This window comes from Homo sapiens, chromosome 15 (assembly GCF_000001405.40).
Source record: "Homo sapiens chromosome 15, GRCh38.p14 Primary Assembly".
NCBI classification, from domain to species: domain Eukaryota; kingdom Metazoa; phylum Chordata; class Mammalia; order Primates; family Hominidae; genus Homo; species Homo sapiens.
The window spans coordinates 48160421-48177821 of NC_000015.10; the positions used below are offsets into that span (position 1 = coordinate 48160421).

Below are 17401 nucleotides of genomic sequence, written 5' to 3' on the forward strand. Positions count from 1 at the left end.
TTGTTTTTTTGTTAGGTTCATTAATTTTTTAAGAGAAACACCCTACCTTTAAACAAAACCAAACATACACACACACACACACACACACACACACACACAAACATAAATGTACTTCTCACTCATCCCACTAGGTGGAATACTAAAAAACAAAAATAAATAAACAAAAACCACATAAACACATGGATAGACTATCATCTGCAATGCCAAATGATTATGTTAAAGGTAATCACCCCATCATCACTTCTCTATCTTTAGGCTAAGATGAAGTGTAAAGGTAACCATCAAATCTACTTTGCTGGCCTCAGTCTGGGAATACAGTACTAATAAAAAGAAAGTCAAGTGATTTTAATAAATTCTCTAGGATGGCTGGAGAATAAAAGGTGAAAAGGTAAAATAATAAAACCATTCTGGCTTGCAACATATTTCTTCACTATGAAGGAATAAAAAGGATTACAAAAGAAAAAAAAAATGTATCAAAGAATGCTTCAAAACATATAAGTTAATAAATAAATTCTTTAGGCCTGAGGATTCAAAAAGAGGTAAAAATACGAAATTTAGGACAGTGGCTACCTATGGGGAAGAAAGATAACTCAGAAGAGAAGATATTTCTTCAACTAGTATAGTAAGCTATTTCGGTTGTTTGTGCTTATAACATTAACAAGATGTATTGCTGTGTTGATCTGTCTTTTATATACATATATATGACAGAAATATATACACATACAATACATGCATACATACATAAAACATATATAAAATAAAATTTATATAAAACAAACCACCTACTATATAACATGACTTTTACTCTTCTTTTCCCCTTGCTGTCAGCCTGCTGGTTACTGACTGCTATTGCTTTTGGAGGGCCTACAATAGCAGTTTATAACTGCTACTATTCTGCATTTAATTAAATGAAAAAAATGTAACTCTAAAGTCTGTTAAGGAACATTGGAAATACACCTTCCTTAGACTTTCCTCAGTAGCAGTTCTAAGCATTCATTCCATCCACCCCTCTATAAATTAGATATCCCAGGAAAGGGACTGCCAAAGTGACATTAATTCAAAAAAGTCAACTGAATAAATCCCTCATCATTTAGCTAGGCCAAATTTAGCCTTTTTTTTTTCTCTTAAAAAAGTTAAAAATGGCGGCATCCTCTTTCAACTTGGATTATATAACTCCAGGGTCTCTGAAATATTACTGAGGATCTACAATGTGCTGAAACTTAAAAGAACACAATAACATGATATTTAGCATCCAATATTATATGGAAGTTTATTGGATGATATTTAGCATCCAATAAACTTTTTTTTCCAATAAAAGAAAAAGACACTAAGAATCTGTAGTACATGTCCTTTGAAGAGAAACAGAAAACATAAAACAGAAAATTGTCAGGTTGGTGCAAAAGTAAATGCAGTTTTTGCCATTATTTTAATTCAAAGCTTTTTTTAATGGCAAAAACTGCATTTACTTTTGCACCAACCTAATTTAATCCTCAAAATAATCATTCTGATTATTATAATTTAAAGAAAATTAAGATACCAATATATTTCTGAAGCACTGGCCCTGGCTTATGCATAAAAACCACCAATAATTGGCTGACACAAACCACAACAGTCAAAATTTTCTCTGCTAATTCTATACATTCCTGTTAATAACTTTTTTAATAATAAACCCCAGACTCAAACAGGACTAGAATAATTTGGAAGCAAGCTCAAATAAAGGTATCTGGGATACATGTTATATGTTGGTAGCATGGCCTTTGATTTCAAGCTATTATCTCACACTCAGGAACAAAAGACTCTTGGACAGGAGTAACAATCATCATTACTAAAGCTAACGTTTATTATGTAGCTAAAATATTTTGAGCACTGTGCTTAGTGCTTTGTACACTGGTAATATCACAAGCATAATAAATAGCCAACACTAAATGGTTTACATATATTAACTCTTCGAGTCCTGATAGCACTATGAGGTAGGTGCTATCATTACTCCCATCTTAGTAATTATGAAAACAAAGGAGAAAGTTTAAGTAATTTGCCCTGAGTTAGAGAGGTTCTCTGATGCCAGAACATAAGTTCTTTACCATGTATCTCATTTAATCCTCATAAAAATCCTATTAGGTAAATAAAAGCACATTTCATTTTATTGTGCTTCACTTTACTGTGCTTTGCAGATATTGCACTTTTTGCAAATTGAAGGTCTGTGACAACCCCGTGTCCGGCAAGTCTATTAGCACCATTTTCCCAACATGTGCTCACTTTGTGTCTCCGTATCACATTTTGGTAATTCATGCAATATCTCAACCTTCTTCATTATTATCTGTTATGGTGATCTGTGATCAGTGATCTTTGATGTTTTAATTGTTTTGGGGCACCATCAACCGTGCCCAAATAAAACAGCGAACTTAATCAATAAATGTTCTGACTGCTCCACCGACCAGCCGCTCCCCATCTCTCTCCGTCGCCTCAGGCCTCCCTATTCCAAGACACAATAATATTGAAATTAGGTCAGTTAATAACCCTAAAATGGCTTCTAAGTGTTCAAGTAAAAGAAAGAGTTGCAAGTCTCTCACTTTAAATCAAAAGTTAGACATGATTAAGCTTAGTGAGGAAGGCATGTCAAAAGTTCAGACAGGTGAAAAGCCGGGCCTCTTGCATCGAAGTTCCTGAAGGAAACTTAAAGTGCTACTCCAGTGAACGCACGAATGATGAGAAAGTGAAACAGCCTTAATGCTGTTTCAAAAACAGGTAAAAACACAAAATTTAAGATACCGGTTACCTTTGGGGAAGAAGGATAACACAACACAGAAGATGCTTCTTGAACTATTAAGATACTTCACTTGTTTGTGCTTATAACATTTCAGTGGTCTGAAAGTTTCAGTGGTTTGAACAGAAGATCAAAGCACCCTCATCATTCCCTTAAGCCAAAGCCTAATCCAGAGTAAGGCCTTAACTCTCTTCAATTCTATGAAGGCTGAGAGAGGTGAGAAAGCTGCAGAAGAAAAGTTTGAAGCTGGTTCATGAGATTTAAAGAAAGAAGCCATCTCTATAACATAAAAGTGCAAGTGAAGCAGCAAGTGCTGATGTAGAAGCTACAGAAAGTTATCCAGAACACCTAGCTAAGATCATTGATGAGATGGCTACACTAAACAATAGATTTTCAGTGTAATGAAACAGTCTTCTATAGAAAGAAGATGCCATCTAGGACTTTCAGAGTTAGAAGGGAGAAGTCAGTGTTTGGCTTCAAAGCTTCAAAGGCCACATTGACTCTTTTATTAGGGGCTAATGCAACTGGTAACCTTAATTGACTTGAAGCCAATGCTCATTTACCATTCTGAAAATCCTAGGGCCCTTAATAATTAGGCTAAATCTACTCTGTCTGTGCTCTGTAAATGAAATAACAAAGCCTGGATGACAGCACACCTGTTTAAGGATAGTTTGCTGAATATTTTAAGCCCACTGTTGAGACCTCTTGCTCAAAAAAAAAATCCTTTTGAAATATTACTGCTCATTGACAATGCACTTGTCACCCAAGAGTGCTAAAGAAGATATACAAGAAGACTAATGTTGTTTGCAGGTCTATTAACACAATATCCACTCTGTAACCCATCAATCAAGAAATAATTTTAACTTTCAAGCCTGATTATTTAAGAAATACAATTTGTAAGGCTATTGCTGTCATAGACAGTGATTCCTCTGATAGACCTGGGCAAAGTAAATTAAAAACCTTCTGGAAAGAATGTACCATTCTAGATGTCATTAAGAACATCTGTGATTCATAAGGTCAAAATATCAATACTAACAGGAGTTTGGAATAAGTGGATTCTAATCCTAATGGATGACTTTGAGGGCTTCAAGATTTCAATGGTGGATGTAACTGAAGATGTGATGGAAAGAGCAAGAAAACTAGAATTAGAAGTGGATCCTGAAGATGTGAATAAATTGCTGTAAACTCATGATAAAACCTAAACAAATTAGGAGTTACTTCTTGTATGAGCAAAGAAAGTCATTTCTTGAGATGGAATCTACACCTGGTGAATATGCTATGTACACTGTTGAAATGACAACAAAGGATTTAGAATATTATATAAATTTAATTGATAAAGCAGCAGCAGGTTTGAGAGGACTGACTTCAATTTTGAAGGAAGTTCAACCGTAGGTAAAATGCTATCAAACAACATCACATGCTTCAGAGAAATCTATTATGAAAGGAAGACTCAACTGATACAGCAAACTTCATTGTTCTTAATTTAAGAAATTGCAACAGCCACCCCAAACTTTAGTAACCATCACCCTGATCAGTCAGCAGCCATCAGCACTGAGGCAAGACTCTCCACCAGCAAAAAGGTTACAGTGAAAGTTCAAATGATCACTAGCATTTTCAGCAATAAAGTATTTTTAAATTAAGGCATGTATATTGTGCTTTTAGACATAATGCTATTGCACACTTTAAACAGAATATAGTATAAACGTAACTTTTATGTGTACTGCAAAACCAAAACATACATATGACACAGTTTATTGTTATATTTGCTTTATTGCAGTAGTCTGGAACCAAACCTACAATAGCTCCAAGGTATGCCTCTATTATCAGTAGTACTACTACCATTACTTCAGTTTAGAGAAATTAAGTAGCATGTCTAGACACCCACTAGAAAGTGATAAAGCCAGGAATCAAATCATTAGTATACTATTAAATGCCATGGGTGACAGTACTGCTCTACAACCAATGATTAGCATCAGTATTAGTACAAAATCTTCAGGGTCCCAAAGTTACACTATTTATCTCTTTTAACACAGACTTTAGCAAGTATATGTACATAACAGGTCTGTAATCAAACTATTAAGATTAACAATACAAAATAAAGGAACCTATGAAGATGAGTGCTATTCAAGCCAATCATTCTCAAGGTTAAACTGTAAATTTTTTGTTTGTATCTTCTAGTCATTTTTTGTCAACCTGTTTACACTGCTACAATTTTGTACAAAGAAGACATTTCCATTTTAGGGGATTCCAACTTCTAGTTATAAATTTCACTAACAAAGTTATAATTTTTCTTAAATTTTAATCTAGTACAGTTTCCAAGTAACTCTGATAAAAAGTGAATATCAATTTTATTCAAATCCATAACATATTTGCATTAAGTGACCTTTAATTATCAATTACAAGGATATTATATTTCTCAAATAACAAAATCTAAATATTGAAAATGTCTGTACCAAATAAACTTAGCACCTAAAGTTTATCCCCTTTGAATTTCTAGGTCCTCAAATTTTTTTAAATTATGTGCTTTTATTTTTAACAACTTGGAACCAATCAAGTATATAGGATAACTGCTTAACAGCAAATATAAAATCATGTACAAGTAAAACTTTCGTCAATATATAATGCTTTAATGAACACCTATGTTTTAAAAAAAAGTTGTAGTCAGGCAAATATATTACCAAATTGAAAATCCAAGGAAAACATGTCTTTATAGTCAAATGTTTAAATTCTAAATATGAGAAATCTTACCTCTTTAATATTAAGGGGTCTTCCACTAAGATCATATTTGTTCATAGTTTCTAGGGCTTTCTTTACAAATTCTTCATCTTTGAATTCAACCACACTTAATAGGGAAAAAATTTATAGGAAATGTTTATGTGCTAATTTTTTTCCAAAGTTTAATTTGACTTAAGATACTTAAAGAAAAAATTTCTTACCCACAACCCTATATCCAGGTAGATTTGTCAAAATATGCAAAAGAAAAAAAGTTTTAGATCAGTACATGAAGTTAATAATCAGTTCTAACATTTCAATCATTAAGGCAATTAATAATATGGTAGAATCACTTCATCTTTTATACCTCCAGAACATAACAGGCAAGTAACCACAAATTTTCTCTAAATTTTTAAATATATCTATTAAAGATAGTAGACTCTAACATGTAACAAGCTTGGAGCACATTTTTCACTTTTAGGTGACTTTTCATTAAGTTAAAATTAATGTCACTGCACAAATTAAATCAACAGGAATTCAAGGAAATAACTAAAGGCTCCAATAGACCTATCCTTCTGTAGTTACAAATATTTTCAAAAAATGTATTGTCTACGACATATTTTTCAACTCTATTAAAATCAAAATAGTGAATAAATATTAATTTTATTTTTAACAAGTTCTCTATTAGATTAAAACTGGCTGCACATTTAACAGCACCCAGTTGGAAGTATGTAAAAATCATCTATAAACTAATAATAAATTAATTTGGAGAGTTATTTAAAAAATAATTCCCTGTGATTGCCATTCAAAGTCCCATATGAATGTAATGACAAAATTTTTATTCATCATGCACCCAACTAGTTTTACTAACATAATGAAACATTGCTAAGAGTTTTCCATTGTATTCTTCAGTATACTGCATTCTTATTGCTAAAAATCAAAATATACTATCAACCAATTCCTTCTACGTCAATATAATCGTAAATGTCATTCATACCAATTGGTCAGAGCACTGCCTCTCATGTAGTCCTGCAGGCTACCAAATTTAACTTTTCAGTAAAATTTCAAAAATACATTCTGAACTAACACCTTTAAGCTATAGCCCTCAAAAAACTCAGGAATATTATCAATTCAGTGACTTTTAAAGTATCCTTGAAGACATCAAAATACAACAAAAAAAATCCTATGCTAAAATCTTATTGGCTAAGAAGAAGTATTACCTTAGAGCATTGGAAAAGTGAATGCCCCTTTGGAGTGTTTACAAAACCCATCCCTTCCAGGCAGCTAGGTTTGTATAAGTGTCAGACTTGCTGGTATAGAGCCTCAAATCTTGCATAATAAAGTAAAACAAAATGAAACTTAAGTTTCCAAAAACTGGTACAAGTATTATACAAAAAGTAAACTGCTGAGGAACTTTTAAACCTCAAGCAGATTATTGCCCACAGCACTTACCCTTGATTTTCCTTCCGCATCCTTAAAGAGCTCCACGTATGTAACCTCACCAACTACATAAGACATACAAAAGGAAGATACCAAGAAACAATACATTTAAACACCAGTATCTTGCTTTACTGCACACCTGTGCACAACTCTACAGAGAAGCACCTATTATTCACCAACAATCAAAACCAGACCAACATACCTCCTATCAATGGCTATGTAAATTTAACTAATTTTCAGAAATGTACATCATCCACATTCTCTAAAAAAAAGCTAACAACCATATTAACCTAATTCATACTACAGATCATATTTTGGCCAGCATGATATAGTTGGTGAACAAATGCACATATACATACAAATGGTCCCTTAACCTATCATATTAAAAAACATCAACATTAGCACTTTTCAAATAACTTTGGTCAGCCTACACACAACAGCTGTTTTAAGGTGACTTTCTACCTGAATGTCTTCAATCATGTTTGCCATCAGTAAACTAAATTTACAAATCATGCTTCACAGCAAGCCACACACTTTCTAAATAAAGTCAATGAATAAAACCAATCAAATAGTTGTCACCTTACAACAGATACACCAATGCAATTTAAAAAAAAAAATTTATTAGAAGAGATCAGCCTCAAAGCCAAGTACATAGTTTGCAGGACTGTTGAAACTCAATTTTTCAAGAGATAACAAAACTAACTTTTACAAGATCAAGTATTAAAATTATTTTTCCCCAAAACCAACCATGTATATAAGATGAAGGTTTTCAGATTATTCTGAAAACAAAACTGCAACAGCAGTAATGCAATTTTAATTTAGAACTGCAAAGACAGCATCATGGCAGTCATGACAATGCAAACAAAATAAATTCCACAGCCAGATTCCAGACTCCACCAAGATAGTAACAAAACAGCTTTTGGAAAAAAAATAAATAATCAGACCTTATTATTCATTCTTAACACGCTAAATGTATTGCTTAACTAATGCAATAGCCCTTTTAAAATCTATAAAAACTTCAACTAGACAAAGCAATCACTTTAACAAAATTCTTGGTGGCATGCATATGCTGGCTCGCTACTATCCCACTAAAATGGCAAAAAGAAAAATATCCATACTACCTTGTAATGAAATTGTGTCAAGAGAAAGAAGAGGAAAAGATTAATTCACATGTCAAGAAATAAAAATCAATTTTTTGAGTCTGTGTGGCTCAGAGGAATAAAAATGTTTGTGTAGTTCCCTCCCCTGCCTATATGAAGATTATCCAACAGTGGGTTATTTCAGAGATAGTTACCTTTCTCTCTCATTAGATCTTTAATAGCTTGCCATTTCATGTCATATGGGATGTTGCTAATGAAAACTCTGTTACGATTTGGACCCTTCTTTTCTCCAGCGCCCGAATTCTTGTCTTTTGAATAAGGATGAAATCTATTGGCCTTCTTACTTCCTGTAGATTTTTCCTTTAAGTCAGATTTCTCTTCTTTTGCTGATTCATCATTCTCCCTGTGAATTAAAAAAAGTCAAACAAACAAAAACCCTCAGTTGTGCTTATAAGAATGGAAGTCTATATTAAATAAGTATTCCATATTTATCACCTCACAAAACTCTCCACTAAGCTAGACCTCAGCAAAGTAGCTGGAGAATCAGCCTGAGAGCTTTGAAATTACCCAATGCTATTTCAAAGCAAGGATTTGGTTTCTCATTTAACAGTCCTCATTTTTTTCCCACATTAAATAGTTGTAAGCATCCAAACAATCACCCAGTTTTTCCCATCACACTACTTAATTAATAAATGCTATTAGACTGGAACAGAGGGAAGAGCAGATAATTTTACTTCTAAGGTATCTAAAACTGCCACCTTTGATGGAGAATTAACTTTCTGGGCATCATTAAAAACTTTTTTAAAAACTAACTTACACAGTGATACTCTGAAAAAGTTCATCTCTTAAAGGTTAATAGTTTCTTCTCAGAACTTTCTCCTCCCTTAATTAGAAGCATAATTAAAATACAAAGTTATGTATATAAATCCACATCTATATATGAATATACTCACATTAAGACTCTCAAACTTTCTTCTATTCCCAATTTTGATCAACACAGAAAACTTATAAAGTATCCTAATATTTTATGTTACATTTTAACCTATAAACTAGAATAGGGTACTTCATCAAATTATGCAGTTTCATTAATATTACCTACAATGGGTAATGTAGGACAGAAGCAGTACATAAAAGCAACGTAAGCCAAAATTTTATAAACCTGATTTTTTTTTTTTTTTTGAGACGGAGTTTTGCTCTGTCACCCAGGCTGGAGTGCAGTGGTGCAATCTCGACTCACTGCAACCTCCGCCTCCCAGGTCCAAGCAATTCTCTGCCTTAGCCTCCTGAGCAGCTGGGATTACAGGTGCCCACCACCATGCCCAGCTAATTTTTTGTATTTTTAGTAGAGACGGGGTTTCATCATCTTGGCCAGGCTGATCTTGAACTCCTGACCTCGTGATCCACTCACCTCGCCTCCCAAAGTGCTGGGATTACAGGCGTGAGCCACCACGCCTGGCCAAACCTGATTTTTAATGAGGCCTTAACTAGAAAAAAAAGTAATTTATAATACCGTAATCACAATGCAACTCTATGATGTCATATGCCAACCATCCAAAAGATGTAGGCATACACTTAAACCCTACAGATAAAAATTTGGATTTCTATTTTAAAATGCAATTTACTTTTCAAAACAAGTCTTTTTTACAGCACAAACAATAGGGTTTTTTGTGGGGGTTTTTGTTGCTGTTGTTGTTGTTGTTGTTGTTTGAGATACAGTCTCATTCTGTCACCCAGGCTGGAGTACAGTGGCAAGATCTCGGCTCACTGCAATCTCCGCCTCCTGGGTTCAAGGAATTCTCCTTCCTCAGCCTCCCAAGTAGCTGGAATTACAGGTGTCTGCCACTACACCCAGCTAATTTTTGTATTTTTAGTAGAGACAGGGTTTCACCATGTTGGCCAGGCTGGTCTCAAACTCCTGACCTCTGGTGATCCACCCGCCTCGGCCTCCCAAAGTGCTGGGATTACAGGTGTGAGCCACCGTGCCCGGCCAATAGATTTCTTATTTAAATAAGTGCTCTAGTCAATTTAAAACTATTTTAATAACAAAACTTCAATTTTAAAGCAATTTTTCACAAACATTACTAATAATATCACTGTGGATGACACCCAGGAATCTAAATTTTTTTTAAAGCTTTCTGGATTATTCTGACAACAAACCAAGTTTCATGAGCCAGGCTCTAAATTATCTTCTAAGCCCAGCAATTCTGGTGATCCACACATTGCAATGCTCCACACACCTCTAACTGCAGTCATTTGTTACATAATATATACAGAGCTTCTTGAACACTACTCTTCTTTGTAGGTAACACAGCCATAAATATAGTATGTAAACTCTATGAGAACAAAAACTATCTGCTTTGGTATCAGCAGCACCTCGCACGGTGACTGCATATAACATTGTGCTATAATTTTTTAATGAATTAACAGTCAATTAAGAATCCATACTCATCTGAGCACAGATGTTGCCAGAAAAACTGCTAGAATAAAGAAAGAGACATTTGGACCAAACTTGCTTTGCCATTTTTTTTAGACCTTAAAAAGGACATCTTCACTATCAAACATATTCCTTCATCAGAAATGGCATGGCCTAGGGGGGAGTCTTCTCAACTGTCTAAATCTAGAAAGTACCTACCTGTCTAAACAGAGTGACACTTTTGAAAATGGCAGCAAGCAGCCAAAAGGCACAAAGGCCTTTTCTCTGGTTTCTGAGTACCGCAGATAGAAGAACAAACCTTTCTTTTCAATTCCCAAAGGGCCTGTTTACATAATAGGCTTAGATGAATTCAGTGAATGTTTGTAAAGTAACTAAGACTCTATTCAGTAAGCAGATATCTATATAGTCTCTAGATTAATACCCCTTCCCCTGCCTATTTTCTTCCTGGATTAAACCAATTGTGAAAATTACACAAAGTTCTGAAGTACTTACAATGTTCTATTCTTGACTTAGGTGGGGTTACATAGATTAAATATTTGCTTACAACAATCTGAAAATTCCATTAAAAACAGTAACATTATATATAATATTTTCTTTAAAATATTTACTCAAAGATGATCAGAGAAAGTAAATTTCTTCATTTTTCCCCCATAAGAAGCATCTTAAAAATACTGCTAAACTGCTCATCTATGATGTAGAATTAAAATTTATCTTAAGTTTCTTCCCAGTGTATAACAAAAAAAGAAAAAAAACTATAAAAGGCATAACAGTTGAGAGGCTACAGGGATGATCTAATTATTAAGAAACTGAGCCATAATTATATAATTTCTGAACTATTTCCAAGTCATAAATACTTTGGAAGAGAAAGTAAAAATATATGTGAAAACTCTTAAGGAAATGATGCTACATAATTCCAAAATATTGGTACTACATCCAGAATTCCAAGTACTAAATTCCCAAACTGTTCATTTAGACAACCACTCCCACAATGTACTTAAAATAAAAACCCTAAAATAGTCATAAAAATGTTATCTATTCTTAAAATTGAACTATGCGTATCTAAATTATAACATACATTTCTGAAAAAAATCAAGCTCCAACATCAAAAGAAGAAACATAGTTTTAATGTGTGATTTTAAAAGTATAATGGTGTAGTATGAGATCCAATATTAATCCCAGTTCCAGAGGAAAACTACCAGAGGGCAGTTCAGAGCAGTAAATGTCTACATTAAGAAAAACGACCTCCAGGCCAGGTGCAGTGGCTCACATCTGTAATCCCGGCACTTTGGGAGGCCAAGGCAGGTGGGTGACTTGAGGTCAGGAGTTCGAGATGAACCTGGCCAACATGGTGAAACCCCGTCTCTACTAAAAATACAAAAATTAGCCAGACGTAGTGATGCATGCCTGTAATCCCAGCTGCTTGGGAGGCTGAGGCAGGAGATTCACCTGAACCCAGGAGGCAGAGGTTGCAGTGAGCCAAGATCACACCATTGCACATTTTTTTTTTGATACAGAGCAAGACTCTGTATCAAAAAAAAAAAAAAGAATAAAGATCTCCAACAACCTAACTTTACACCTCAAGGAACTAGAAAAAAGAGCTCAGTCCAAACTTAGTAGAAAGAAGAAAATAATGAAAATCAGGGCAAAAATAAATGAAATATACTAGAAAAACAATAGAAAAGATCAATAAAATTAAAAGTTGGTTTTTGAAAGATAAGCAAAACTGACAAAGATCAAACTAGATTAAGGGGGAAAAACAATCAGAAATCAAAGAGGAAAAAATAGAAAAATATATAAAGAAATCAAAGAGGAGACATTATAACAGATACCACAGAAATACAGAGAATCATAAGAAACTACTATTAACAATTATATACCAACAAATTGGATAACTTAGAAGAAATTAATAAATTCCTGGAAATATACAACTCACCAAGGCTGAATCATGAAAAATTAGAAAATCTGAACTGTCCACTAACAAGGGAGATGGAGTCAGTAATCAAAAATCTCCCAAGAAAGAGAAGCCCAGGACCTGGTAAATTCTACCAAACATTTAAGAACTAATACCAATCCTTGTCAAACTGTTCCAAAAAACTGAACATGAGGAAAGTCTTTCAAATCATTTTATAAGGCCAAGATTACCCTGATAACAACGCAAGACAAGGATCCTACAAGAAAAGAAAATTACAGCAATATCCCTGATGATCACAGATGTGAAAATTCTCAACAAAATACTAGCAAACTAAATTCAACAGCACATTAAAAGGATCATACACCATAATCAAATGGTATCTATATCAGGGACGCAAGGATGACATACATAAATCAATAAATGTTATACACCACATTAACAGAATGAAGGATTTTTTAAAAATCAAGGATCATCTCAATAGATCCAGAAAAAGCATTTGACAAAACTCAACATCCTTTCAAGATAAACACTCTCAACAAATTCAGTATAGAAGGAATGTTCCTCAACACAATAAAGGTCATATATGACAACCCCATAGCTAATGTCATACTCAACAGTGAAAATTTGAAGGTTTTACCTCTAAGAGCAGGAAAAAGAGAAGATGCCCATGCTCACCACTTCTATTCAACATTGTACTGAAGGTCACAGCCAGAGCAATTAGGCAAATAAAAGACATAAAAGGCAACCAAATTGGAGAGAAAGAAGTAAAATTAACTCTGTTTGCAGAAGATGTGATCTTATATAGAAAATTATTCAGAGAAAATTTTAAAGACAACACCAAAAAAACTATTAGAACAAATTCAGTAAAGTTATAGAATACAAAGTCAACATTCAAAAATCCACTGCATATCTACACACTAATAATAATGAACTATCCAAAAAATTAAGAACATAATCTCATTTAAAATAGCATCAGAAAGAATAAAATACCTAGAAATAAATTTAACCAAGAAAGCTAAAGAGCTATACACTGAAAAACGATCAAACAATGATAAAAGAAATTGAAAATAATACAAATGAAAGATATTCCATGTTCACAGATGAGAGGAATTAATATTGTCAAAATGTCCTTCCTACCCAAAATGACCTATAAATTCAATGTGATCTCTATCAAAATTCTAACAGCATTTTTCACAGAAACGGAAAAATTCCTGAAATCCGTATGAACCATAAAAGATCTCAAATGGCTAAAGCAAGCTTAAACAAGAAGAAAAAACTAAAAGTACCACACTACCTGATTCAAGTTATATTACAAATCTATAGTAATCAAAACAATATGGTACTGGTACAAAAACAGACACACAGACCAATGGAGCATAACAAACACTCAAAAACACATCCCCAATATATGGTAAACTAATCCTTGACAAAGGCACCAAAAATATACAATGGTGAAAGGACAGTCTCTTCAAAAAATGGTATTGGGAAAACTAGATATCCACATACAAAACAAAATGAAAATGGATTAAAAACTTATAACACCTAAAACCATGGAACTCCTAGAAGAAAACACAAGAGAAAAGCTCCATGACCTTGGCCTTGGCAATGATTTTTTTTTTTTTTGATATGACACCAAAAGCACAGACAACACAAACAAAAGTAAACAACTGGGACTACATCAAAGTAAAAAGTTATTGCACAGCAAAGGAAACTCAACAAAATAAAAAGGCAACCTAAGAAATGAGAGATAAAATTTGCAAACCATATATCCAATAAGGGATTAATATCAAAAATGTATAAGGAACCCATACAACTCAATAGCAACCCAATTTAAAAAATGAGAAAAGGATCCAAACAGATAATTTTTCCAAAGAAGACATACCAACGGCCAAAAGGTATATGAAAAGGTGCTCAATATCACTGTTCATCAGGGAAATACAACTCAAAACCAGACTGCAATATCACTTCATACCTGTTAGGATGACTTATCGAAAAGTCAAAAGATAGCAACTGTTGCTGAGGACGTGGAGAAAGAACCTTTAGATACTGCTGGTGGGAATATACATTGGTACAGCCATTATGGAAAACAGCATCAAGGGTCCACAAAAAATTAAAAACAGAACTACCACATGATTCATCAATGCCACTTCTGGGTATATATCCAATGAAAATGAAATCACTATCTCAAGGAGATATCTGCACTCCCATGTTCGCTGCATCATCCACAATACCCAAGATATGGAAACAACGACTTAAGTGTCCATTGACAGATAAATGATTAAAGGAAACATGATATATATTATATTTTATGTTTACACAACACATCCACACTGGAATATTATTATTCAGCCTTACAAAAAGAACAAAATCTTGCCATTTGCAACAACAGAGATAAACCTAGAGGACATTGGGCTATGTGAAAAAAGCCAGACTCAGAAAGACAAATGCTACATGATCTCACTTACACACAGACTTTTAAAAAAGTCAAACTCAGAAGCAGAGAGTAGAAGGGTGTTTACCAGAGGTGGAGGGCAGCAGGGGATGGGGAAATGTTCTAAGGGCACAAACTTTCAGTTATAAGATGAGTAAGTTCTGTAGATCTAAGGTACAGTATAGTGACTATACTTAACATATTTACTGTATACTTGAAATTTGCTTAAAGAATAGATCTTAAGTATTTTCAACACCAAAAAATATGGTAGCTATGCGAGGTAACAGATACGTTAATTAGCGTGATTGTGGTAATCATTTCACAATTTATTTGTATACCAAACCATCACACTGTACACTTCAAAATATACAATTTTTGTCAATTTACCTCAATAAAGCTGGGGGAAACAGTTCTAGTCTTTATTCCTAATAAAAATCACTCAGCTAAAGAACACATTACCTTGCTCCAATGCTTAATATTTTATAGTACCCTAATATAACTCTCAATCTCTACCTACTCCAAAGTTATACTTAATTACACATGAATAATAAAGTTATAATAATACTGCTCTTTTCCCTCCTATTCATTTTTAAGAAAAGGAGAGCTAGTATACCATTTGGCGTTAAAGAAGAAGACTACAGTTGGAAAACGGATCTTTTCTAAAGGTGTGAATATGCAAACTAAATTCCCTGTATATGAGTTTCATAAGCATGAAAGTTCACTTCTGCATTTCTTCCACAAATATTTACTAGGCCTTAAGAATACAAAGAAGAATAAGACATAGTGGTCTCCCACCCTCAATAACTATGGATTAACCTCAGCAAATATTATTTCAATCCTGATGACAAGCAGTACTCTGTTCAATTCCAACCAATACATAATTTGGGGCAATATTATGGTAATTTTTATAATCAACAATGAATTATTTTTATTATTAAAAGTATATGGTAATCAACTCAAGGTTTATGTATTGGGGTTGTTATCCACTCCTACTAGTTCACGAAGTAAAAAAAAAAAAAAAAAAAAAAAGGACTAGGTCGCTAGTTATTCAGTTTGAATGACTCATGCTGGACCATCACAAATCTTCTTATGGAATAGACAGTAAGAGAAATCCCTGAGAGTAAATTGGACTCGATTCAACTTCTGGGAAAAAGAGAAAGGGAGAGGCGAATTATAAGCAATATGGAAATAATCTGTATTTACTAGTAATATTTCTTCATTTCTTCACCTTATATTTTTCTCTTCCTAAATTAGAAAAGGATTCTTTCTCCACCTTTCTCCTTTCTCTTTTCCTGTCTTGCTAAATCATGAAGAGACTTTAGAAGGGAATAGAAAATCTGATGGAGGTTTAGATACCAAACTTCCCCTATATCAAAACTAATCATACCCAAGTATAGGAGGGCTTCTCTCTGTAATTCAAGGCTGCACTTTTTGTTCAGGAGAAAAGGTGGCATGTATACTCGTGTTTAGATATGAATAGCACATATTTTTAAGTTTATCATTCCACCGGTTTTCATTTCTATTTTTAATGCCAAATTCCAGAAAGCCCACATTTTGGCAAGCATGGTAGAAAGCACTTCATTCCCTTTCTGGTTCCTCAATTACTGAGGTGCACCACTCTTCATCCAGGAATAAACTCCACTAAGTTCCAATCTCTTATACCTGCACCTCTATTCTCCTAGAAGATGCTGCCGATCCTGTTCAAACTCATTTGAGAGCAAGAGTGTCAAAGAGCTGGGGAGAGCTACCCCATCTTTTTTGCCACCAACTTTTACACAGACTGGTCCAGTTCTTACCATACAATTTCAAACATGCTTATACAAAGGTCAGAAAGACCTTTCCCTTGTCTATTTTACTGTGAGCATATATCTATTGCTTTCTGCTCTGAGGCATAACAGAGAAGGAAAAGGATGTTTTCACTTAATTATTAACATACTTTCAACTTCAGGTTTAAGGAGGTAGGCATATGAAAGTAAGCGCTTAACTTCATATCCTCCCACAGGACAGGAACAAAGGAGAGCATAACATTTCCCTAGAACCAGAAATTATTATGGATTGGGGTCAACTAAATTCTTTATAGGCACTGGTGACAGCTGCGACCTTAAAAGTCTTCCTTCATTTGGGAAAAAAAAAATCTTAACCATCTATTATACCAAACTTAAGATAATCATACACTGAGTTAAAAAAAAAAATACTCTCCACAGCTGACGCACATTACCCAGTGGGAAGGGAAGCCACGCACATCGCACATTTCCCTTTTTAAAGTACGTCTAGCCAATTCAAGAGTAACACAAAACATAGAGTCTAACAGCACATTATTAAACTTCCTCTCGGTATAAATCAGTTTAAAAATGAACATACACTTTAGAAAACAACAAAACACTAAACTTGTGAAGCTCAGAAAGAAGCCAGGAATATTCCTTTTAAATATGTTCTCGGTGGTTAAGAGGAAATGTCCGATGATGTCATCCCTAGATACTCCCTAGTGATGAACACTAACTACTGGTCCTTAAAGGGGGACCATTTTCCTGCAAACCGTGGCGGTCGCTGAGCTTTGCTCAAAGATTCTTTAACCAAAGTCAGGGAAGAGGGGTGTTCGCTGTCTCGG

General features: G+C 34.0%; 1 protein-coding gene across 13 annotated transcripts in view, besides 1 other annotated feature; it reads right to left on the minus strand.

Annotated features, from left to right (window-relative positions):
• The window catches only part of MYEF2 (myelin expression factor 2), a 43664-nt gene that overhangs the window by 25789 nt on the left and 474 nt on the right, over positions 1-17401 (minus strand). For 9 of the 13 annotated variants that reach the window (XM_017022287.2, XM_005254424.5, XM_017022285.2 and 6 more), the window contains exons 2-5: positions 8211-8419; positions 6929-6981; positions 5701-5708; positions 5513-5606 (exon numbers count right to left, since the gene is read on the minus strand). In XM_017022287.2, the coding sequence (XP_016877776.1) occupies positions 5513-5606; positions 5701-5708; positions 6929-6981; positions 8211-8419 (364 nt within the window). Of the gene's footprint in view, positions 1-2256; positions 2394-5512; positions 5607-5700; positions 5709-6928; positions 6982-8210; positions 8420-17401 lie in introns of those variants that run through there. The other 4 variants (XM_047432636.1, XM_011521657.3, NR_125408.2 and 1 more) reach the window with 3 other exon arrangements.
• Positions 17217-17386: a silencer, noted in NCBI's record as "silent region_6412". NCBI's record gives its function as "represses an Ori minimal core promoter by ATAC-STARR-seq in GM12878 lymphoblastoid cells {active_cell/tissue: GM12878}" and the evidence as "EXISTENCE:reporter gene assay evidence [ECO:0000049][PMID:35858748]".